This window comes from Homo sapiens, chromosome 6, assembly GCF_000001405.40.
Source record: "Homo sapiens chromosome 6, GRCh38.p14 Primary Assembly".
In the NCBI taxonomy this organism is placed as follows: Eukaryota; Metazoa; Chordata; class Mammalia; order Primates; family Hominidae; genus Homo; species Homo sapiens.
In genome coordinates, this window is record NC_000006.12 from 97,131,236 (window position 1) to 97,141,004 (window position 9,769).

Sequence of the window (9,769 nt, forward strand, 5' to 3'; positions counted from 1 at the left end):
TCTGATACAAGTAGGAGGAACCAGACACTGAAGGATTTAATAACTCTTTACAGAAGGAATTTATTGTTTACTTCTCACTGCTTTTAGTCTTATTTCTTGTGAGTTCAGGAGTTTAGGAGCATGGTCTTCATTATTTGTCACTGTCAAGTATTGTTTCTGTGAGTATTCTCCTAGAAATGAAACCCTTAAGTGGTTCTGTACACAGGAGTTTAGCTGCATTTTTGGCCACAAATACCCATCCAAGCATTTACCACAGAGCAACATTAGGTATGGACCTTCCTCATCCCAAAAAAGGATGAAAGTAACACGGTGAACAACTTACCCCTCATGTTTCTTTATGGAGTGAATAACTTTTCCCCCTTGTCAGCTTGCATTGTTAACATCTACAAGTGATCAGATCCCTTCCATGTCTGCTCAAATAATAGGAAAAATCACAAACTGAAAATGGTAGGTTGGGTTAAGACATTTTAATATGCTGAGTGGGCACTCAATCCCTTGCAGCTGCTGCTGGGGGAGGCAACGCTGGGAATCTAATCAGAGGTTTAGATGCTTGTATTGAGCTCCTGTTTTTGCAAAATGATTTTTGAGGCCCACTGGACAAGGACTTAGAAACTCTCTGAGTTTTAGCGGTACCTTAGGCCCTCGATTCTGGATCTGTGATTCTGCCTGCTGTAAGATCCAGCTTATTTATTACCCCAGTCAATCCTGTGTCAGCCCATCAATAAAAAGAGACTCTTTCACTCTGTGATGGCCTCCAGGGAAGAATATGTGGTAGTGAGTTATTCTGTCTTCTTTTTGAAATGGGAGGGGAAACCTTTCATCATTTTGGCGTGTCAGCATCTAGGGATTATCCAGGCTGGTCCCAGCTCAGGAACTTTAATATAATCTTTAAAATGTTGGGTATGTAAAGAAAGGTAGGGTAGCAAGTTGATCAATCTCTTCTGCCATTTGTCTTCATTTGGGGCATGCTAGGGGCATGGCTCTGCTTTATTGGCTTCTTGGGGTTGCAGCTGTTACTTTACAAATGTAAGCACTTGTCTAAAAAGCATTTGCGGGTATAGAAGAGGTGTTTGCATTTCTATAATATACCTTATTTCCACCACTGTAAATTAATGGCATGTGACATAGCATAGAATTCAGTTCTACATGGCTTACTATTGCTGTATTTAATGCTGTACTTACTAACTTGGCTGGCTAATAAGTGTTTTGGCCTGGTTCTGACCTGACAGATTCATTCTCTGAGAAATAGTGCTTAATTTTTCTGAGTACTGGGAGGCAGTGATTAGTTGCTGCAAAAATCCCATGGAGTATACAAATGTGCCACAAAGGAAAATTGTATCCCTCAGTGGCAAAAGGGTTAATTAAAATATGTAAGAAATGGATTTTTTTTCTTTTTATTCAATTCTCTTTACTTTAGGCCAAAATGAATCTGGAGTTGCTGTCCATAATGGGAGAATATATTTAGTTGGTGGATATTCAATTTGGACAAATGAGCCTCTGGCTTGTATCCAGGTGAGTGGTAGAAGTTCCTTTTGAAGTTTGTTCAAGTGGTTCAGCGAGGTTACATTTTGCAATGCTGCTACTGAAGAAAGAGATATTTATGTTTAGAAAGAGGCTTAACGTCCCGTTTTTTGTGCAACTAGTTCAGCCACTAAACTTCATCCTGTATCCTAAAAATGATGCCTAAATAAATTATTGAGCCCTATTAAAAATAAAAATGAGGATGAATTTTGAAAAATATATGTAATATATATTGGAAACTGGGAAACTGGGATAGCGTTCCCTTTCTCATAAACCAAAAAATTCTAAAAATCTTTGGCAATAGTTCCTTCATATCCCCCAAGCTTTACAAATACTTCCTTTCCACACCATTGCCTTATTTTCTATATTACAGTTCATTCATTCCCACAAATGCCACCTACAAGGGTGTTCTTCCTTCACGGCAGAGGCTGTGAGCAGTAGTGGTTTATGACTGGTCTGATAGGGACAGCCTCTGTCCCAAAGAATAGCCCTGGTGCATCAGCATATGAGCAGCCCAGGCTGGGCAAGTTGCCAGCTGGGCCTTTCAGAAGAGCAATAGCCCTCATTGATAGACACATTCATAGTATTATTCCTATTATTATTTTACAGTTATTACCATAGTTTTCTCTTTTACATGTTCTCTGATAAAATATTGACATGTATTAGCCCTGACCTTTCTTCCTGACCTCCAGAAAAGTATATCCTTATAACTACTTTTATTATCTAATCGCATCTTTATGGGAAGATTTTTAACAACTGCATCAATATCTTTAATAGTTGCAGAACTGTTCAACCTTTTTATTTCTTTTTCAGTCACATCTCATAAAGTACATATATTTTGAAGAAAATTCCATGTTGTCTAAGTTTTCAAAATTGCTAGCATATAGTTGTTGTGTTATCCTTAGTTATATCTCCCTTTACATTCATAATATTGTCTCTTCTTCTCTTGATTTGTCTTGACAGAGGTTTGTCTGGGGAATTTAAAGTACTTCTATTATTCATATAGATGAAGTTAAAAAAGTCAGCAAGGGTAAGGTAGATATGGAAAATATAATTAACAAGCTTGTCTGAATGGATATGGGTTCTGACTGAGCAGTTGGAAAGACTGTATTTTTCTTAGCATACATGGAACATTTACAAAAACCAGTCATGTACTAGGGTTAGGGTTAAGAAAACTTTAGTTAAAAAAATTAAGTATTGTTTAGTATTATGTATCTCTAATACAATGCAATTAAGTTAGAACTTAACAAAAAAAAACCCCTACATAACTGGAAATAATAAAACACATTGCTATATAACTTATGGGTTAAAGAAGAAATCATAATGGAACTCAAAAAAATTCCCAGAACTGTGATAATAAAAACAATATACAGCAAAGCTTGTGAGATATAGCTTCATAAGTTAGAAAATGAACCAAAAAGTAATCTCAAAGAAAGTAGAAGAGGAGAGATGATAAAGATGAGAGAAAATTAATAAACTGGGAAACAATAATACAGGAGAAAAGAATTATCAAAGCCACACACACATGAAGAGCCACATAAGACTTTAAGGGAGTTCACTGAAGGCTGCCTTGTACTGGTTTTAGTTAGTTAATGGAAAGCTGCCTTGGACTAGAGCTTCGTCCTGTCTTTCGGATAACAACAAATGAACAAACTTTTCTCTCAAAGAGTGCTTCTAGTCTTCATCCAAGCATGTATTTGGTAGTCCTTCATAGTCTTTTAGGTTTCTTTTTATTTTTTGCTTTTCAGAATTGGTAGAACTCAGAACTGGGCAACAGTTCTCTATAGTGCTGGAACACTGTTTTTTAAATGGCTTTGGGACCCTTCATTTGATCACTTGCACAATGGAAGTAAGTTTGGGTTTATCATGAAATAAAATTGTAAATTTTAAATACATTTATGAGCATATTTCTACTAGTTTTAGTATCAGATTAGCTCAAGGAATAGAAAATTAGTGGAAATCATAACATAATGAGGAAATAAAGAAAATGCTGTACGTATCAAGTTTAGGAGATCAGAGTGCTGCCATAGTGCACATTTTTTCCACATCTCATATTTTGTTAACAGTCGTGAATGTTAGTTTGTAAGACATAGAAACTTAAATAAAAAAAACTTCGTAGTCGCATCATTTGTTTTTTGTCACCAAAGAATTTTTCTGTAAATGATCACTAATCATATACACTAATTAATTGCTAATGACATTTGGCTGTTTTCAAACAAATCTATCCACAAGAAATGAAGAGGTAAACAAATGCATATTTTAAACCACTGAGGATATTTGAGAGTATCCTCAGGATTATGGTGATTATCAAAGGGGATTCAATTATTTTTTTAAGTCAACACCTGTATTAGTGGAATAAGTTTCACCTCTGAGATTGTACAATAATATATTCTAATATATTTGCTTTTAAATAAAAGTCAGCATGATGGGTATTTCTGTGTTCCAGTAGCCATTCTGATGAACAGAATCAATCCTTTGGCAAATACTGCGTTTATTCCTTTGGCTGGCACACTGGTCCTACAAAGCACAGACAAATTTGTTAATTTTTTTTTTTTTTTTTTTTTTTCCTGAGAGTGTCTTGCTCTGTCACCCAGGCTGGAGTGCAGTGGCGTGATCTTGGCTCACTGCAACTTCTGCCTCCTGGGTTCAAGTCATTCTCCTGCCTCAGCCTCCTGAGTAACTGGGATTTCAGGCATGTGCCACCATGCCCAGCTAATTTTTTGTATTTTTTAGTAGACACGGGGTTTCACCATGCTGGCCAGGCTGGTCTCAAACTCCTGAACTGCCCACCTCGGCCTCCCAAAGTGCTGGGATTACAGGCGTGAGCCACTGCATCTGGACGATTTGTTATTAAGAGCCTTTACTATTAATAGGTAATAAGTATCCCTATAAGCATATGGATTATCACTTAAAGAGATGTTTGAAATAGAGGTATTCATGGATAGTGACATGTATCTTTCATTTTAGTTAATGACAGCTAGTTACAGGCTATATTACCATTCATTCTGAACTAAAGCTCCATTTTTTTATGTTATGGATGACGATAGAACAATTGGTTTCAATACACTAACAGTAATAAATTAAATTGATGGTTGGAGAGAATAGCTACATGTTCAAAAGTAGGCCACTTCTTTACTACTTAAAGAACATCCAACAGAGGCAAGATGATGGGAGACTGGAATAATATTTATGAGAAAATGCTTAACAGTGGAAATTCCTAAGTATGTCAGTGGGTTGAGAAGTACAGAAGCATAGTGGGGAAAAAATCATATGCATACTAAAAATATAAAGGTTTAAATTTTTTGTGTCGTCAGTCACAAATCTGTATATTTGATCCAAGATTAATCCACAAATCATTAATCCAAGAGCATGGCTGATTAATGGAAGTCATACTTAAATAGTTCTGAGATTGTTCTATTAACATTTGGAAGTACTAATTTTTTTTTGCCCTCAAAAGTACCAGCCAATAACTTCTCACTTAACTGTCCCTTCTGGACCCTAATCCAAGCTCATTTAACTGTGATTTGTAGGATTCAACCACAGTGGGATGAAGCATGTCCAATGTTGAAAAAGCATACTTTATTTCCTGCTACTACTCTGATTTAGCACAGACTATTTATCCATCAGAAGGACAACCCAAACAAGAGAAAAGCAGAGATACTCTTAGGTTGAGATTTGGACTTGTTAGTAATAAACAAACACTCATGGAAAATAATGGAAATAGATTACTGACGAAAGTGAAGGTGTTCTTGTTTATTTAGTGGGTGTGTAAACTAATGTCTGTCACAGAGGTTTGACTCTAATCTTGTGTGCCATGGATGACAAGTGGCACATAAAGGAGCAGCTGCGTAAGTGTGCAAGTGATTAGTCTGTGTTTCTAGATCACCTCTACTGTTATCTTCATTTACTATTATTTTTTTTGGCTGGAGGATACAGTGCCAGCTTGGCACCACACTCTCCCAAACGCCTTCTTTCAGCCAGTTTACAGGGGAGTGTTTTGGAGAAAAACTGCCAATGCTTCCTTTTCCCTTCTCAGATTAAATACATTACATCTGCTTAACATATGCAGTCTCTGTTGGCCCAGGAAACCAGACAAAAGCTCTCTGGATGATTATCTCATTAGTATTTTGCCTTCTAAAAATGTTTTCAGTCAGGAGGGAGGGCACAAAATCCTTGCTCTTTCTGGGTTGCGTCTTGAGCTCAAATACTGGCTCCACCACTTGCCGTGTGACCCTGAGAAAGTCACTTAATTTTTTCCGGTATCAATTTTCTTCTCTGTAAATTGAAGACAATACTTAACCTTATAGAGTTGTGGTAAATACTAAATGACCTCTGATTTACTTTTTGTATTTAATGAAATACTAGCCAAAACCCCACCGGGGTTTTCCCTTTTCTCATGGGGCGAAGTAGTGATACTTGTCAAACTAATCTTGAAAGATTCTCTAGGAAAGTAAATGAGTAAGAATAATCAAGAAAATTTTGAAAATAAATGAGGAGTCTTGCCTTACCTAGTCAAAACAACTGTAAATGTGACACTGAAAGAAAATACATCAATTAACAAGAGAACAGAGAAAACGTTTGTATTTAGTATATGAGTGAGTTATTTTAAATTAGTAGTGACAGGGTATATTGTTCAATAAAGAGATTGGGACATCTAATCTCCACTTGTTTGTTCTTTCTTTTATTCTAGGACTTCTTAGTAATTTCCTCCTTTGTGAAACATGGATCCCCAAATTTCAAGGGCCCATTTCCTGTAAAATAATGCGTTGTTGAAGTTAAAGTCTTTTTTTTTCCCCCAGACGGAGTATCACTCTGTCGCCCAGGCTGGAGTGCAGTGGCGCGATCTTGGCTCACTGCAAGCTCTGCCTCCTGGGTTCAAGCCATTCTCCTGCCTCAGCCTCCCGAGTAGCTGGGACTACAGGCAGCCGCCACCACGCCTGGCTAATTTTTTGTATTTTTAGTAGAGACAGGGTTTCACCATGTTAGCCAGGATGGTCTCGATCTCCTGGGCTCGTGATCCACCTGCCTGACTCCCGAAGTCCTGAGATTACAGGCATCAGCCACCGCGCCCAGCCTATTGCAGTTAAAGTCTTAAGATTTATCCACACAGGTGATAGATGAAGGCATGAGAGTGGACTAGATCATTAAAGACGCGTACAAAGAGGTCTGTGATTGAAATATTGGGAAACACCTACGTCCAGGATGCAGATGAAGGAAAAGGGACTCAAGGTGGATTGCAATATGATAATGTCAATGACAAACTTTCATTTTTTTAAAACACCAAATCCACGGGAGGCAAATGTTTAAATAGTTAGAGAAAAGTCAAATGAAAAGGGATCAAGATGATAACTGCAGACTTGAAAGAGCCTAATAGGTTTGACAAATGGGGCGAGAGCAGCTCTCCTGAAGAAAGAATTTTCCTGCTTCAAAGATTCAGCCAGGTTCAGTTAGGAGACAGCAGGCACTGACTAACAGAGGCTGTGCTATATAAGAAGAGAGAGGCCAGGCACAGTGGCTTACACTTATAATCCCAGCACTTCGGGAGGCTGAGGTGGAAGGATTGCTTGAGCCCAGGAGTTTGAGAGCAGGCTGCACAACATGGCGAGAGCCCATCACTACAGAAAATTTACAGATTAGCTAGGCGTGGTGGTGTGCACCTGTGGTCCTGGCCACTCAGGAGGGTGAGGCAGGAGGATTGCTTGAGCCCAAGAGATCAAGGCTACAGTGAGCACCACTGCACTCCAGCCTAGGTGACAGAGCAAGACCCTGTCTCAAAACAAAAACAAAAACAAAAACAACAAAAAAACCCCAAAAACAAACAAAACAAACAAAAAAACTCCAGCATGAACAGGAAAGAACTGGGGAAAACCTTCCAGAATCGACTGAATTTTGAATTTGCTACTAAGCTGTGTTATATTCCACTACCTGCCAGACACTGAGCTAGATGTCATCAATTTTCACAACAAAGCTGCAAGGTCTTGTTTTCTTCATTTCACAGATGAGGATGTTTAAGCCAACATTATGTCAGACTGCCTACTAACTAGTTTGGGCAAGTTATTTAACTTGTCTAAGGCAGTTTTCTTAAATGAAGTAATGCTACCTACCTCATAATTGTTCTGAAGATTAAATGCTTATAAATATACATGTATGTATATATGTACATCCAAAAACATACTAACATAGTGTAGCATTTAGTAGGAGCTTAATAAATATTTCTAGTACCATCCAAGCAAGAAAAAGAATTCCTAAGATATGGTGATGGTGACATAACTGAATTTAAGTTCAGAATTTCTTTTATGTATACATAGCTTTATTTTGAGCAGTCATCTTTGATACACAAGCTTCTTCTCTTCCTCTTTTGTAGGTACTGGATGTAAGCAGAGAAGGCAAAGAAGAAGTATTCTATGGGCCTACACTCCCTTTTGCTTCCAATGGAATAGCAGCATGCTTCCTTCCAGCTCCATATTTTACATGCCCTAACCTTCAAACTCTTCAAGTGCCTCATCACAGGATTGGCACCATCTGAAAAGCCAAGCCATCATGAACAGGAGGAAAACATAGCTCTGACTGTTGGATACTGGGCATGAAAAGACTCAGTGCTCCATGCTTCCTTGTCTTGCTTTATAGGTCTTATATTCGGATAAATTTAAGCAAAAAATGAACAATTTTCTAAAATACGTTATTGAAAACTCGTCACCCTTCTCAGTGTATGTCAACATTCAATATGTATGACTTTTATTGTGGTATAGCTTAGTGCCAATTTAAGGTATATTGTGTTCCATGGGTCTTTAGAGCATTCTTTGTACACTTTTTCTAATCAGCACTGTCTTAAGACAACATAACACTGTTAGTAAGGCAATTTATTGGACACAATGGCATCGATGATCTTAAAAATATATATATTCTGTACTTAATCCCTTTATTATTTAAAGCCGGGCTTGTAATTTTTCTTTTTAAAATTTAACATTATGCAGCCCTGCTCAGTAGAGACTCACTCAGCATTATGACATCATAAATTTTTAAATGCCATATTTTATTCAAGGTGATACGAATAATAATAGACATACACTGGAACAGCAGTTGTTGAAATACCCAGATTTTTCACCTTGGTTACTCTGACCTTGGGTCAGAACCTAACTTTACAGTGCTTCAGTTTTCCCACCTTTTAAGGAGGATAATTACTGATTTCCACGTTAATTTAAAAGAACATTATGAGGATTAGGCGAACACTTTGTAATACTTTGCCCAAGAAAAAGAAAAATGTTGTTACTGAAATTATAAGGTATTTTATTGTCTTTAGAACCTTGTAATTGAACAGGGAGATTATTTTTGAAGTTTAAAAATTACTAGATAGAATTTGGAAACATGTTGTGGAATAAATGATTCTAAAAAGCATGTGAAAGAGACACACAATGAGGAAATAGGGAGTTTCTCAAAATCTAAACTTGTACAGGTATCTAAACTTGCCTCAAGTAACTCTCAGATGTCTTATTTAAAATCATTTAGTGAAAAATGACATTTAAAGCTAAAAAATAATTTAGTTGTACTAATTATGGTACCATAAAGTGCTTTGACATAAATTTGAACCTAGAATTGGCAGTTCTAATAAAAGTTTTTCCACTTTGTTAAAGGTTATGTCAATCTTGAGTGCTTGTGGAATTCTTCACCACCAATACATATTTTATTACTATCTCTTTTAATAATGCATAGGAATTCTTTTTTAGACTAGTTTTTGGGTTTGCTTTGTCTATAACAAAAAATAAATACAACAACTTAATAATCACATTTGAAAACAAATTTAACAAGTATAATGTGAGTTTTTCTTTTTTCCTAACTTCCTCAGGACCTAGGTCACCTTTATTAAAAGGAAGAATTCACTCTTTTTTCCTTGGCAGTTTAATCATTCAGGAATCCCTCTCTTAAAGGAAATTGTTATTTTATTCATGTAACCTTTTTTTGTAATCAAAAGTGAATAAAAACGATCTTTTTGTCTTACAGAATTCACTAACTTCATATATCGTTATACACAAAACATTGAAAATACATAAAACATTGAATATATGGCTTCTGGTTATTCAGATTTAAAGGGCAGGAAAGGGGACTAGGGAGAAGGAAAACAGGTAAATTTTAAAAAGAATAGGAATTTAGTATAGACAAACCTTAAGAGTATTTGGACAGTTCTGAACAGTGAAAATTGATATTGACAATTGATATTTACAATGAAGACAGCTTCTTTAAATGGTTTAAG

The 9,769-nt window shown here is 36.6% G+C and overlaps 1 protein-coding gene across 21 annotated transcripts in view; it reads left to right on the forward strand.

Moving 5' to 3' along the window:
- The window catches only part of KLHL32 (kelch like family member 32), a 242,671-nt gene extending 233,153 nt beyond the window's left edge, over nucleotides 1-9,518 (forward strand). For 16 of the 21 annotated variants that reach the window (NR_136580.2, NR_104421.2, NR_136579.2 and 13 more), the window contains 2 exons: nucleotides 1,418-1,512; nucleotides 7,886-9,518. Coding sequence is in view for 18 of the 21 variants with exons in the window: in NM_001323252.2 (NP_001310181.1) it covers nucleotides 1,418-1,512; nucleotides 7,886-8,047 (257 nt within the window). In the remaining 3 variants the exon portion in view is untranslated. The remainder of the gene's footprint in view (nucleotides 1-1,417; nucleotides 1,513-7,885) is intronic. The other 5 variants (NM_001323253.2, NM_001323254.2, XM_047418150.1 and 2 more) reach the window with 1 other exon arrangement.
- Nucleotides 9,519-9,769: the final 251 nt, after the last annotated feature.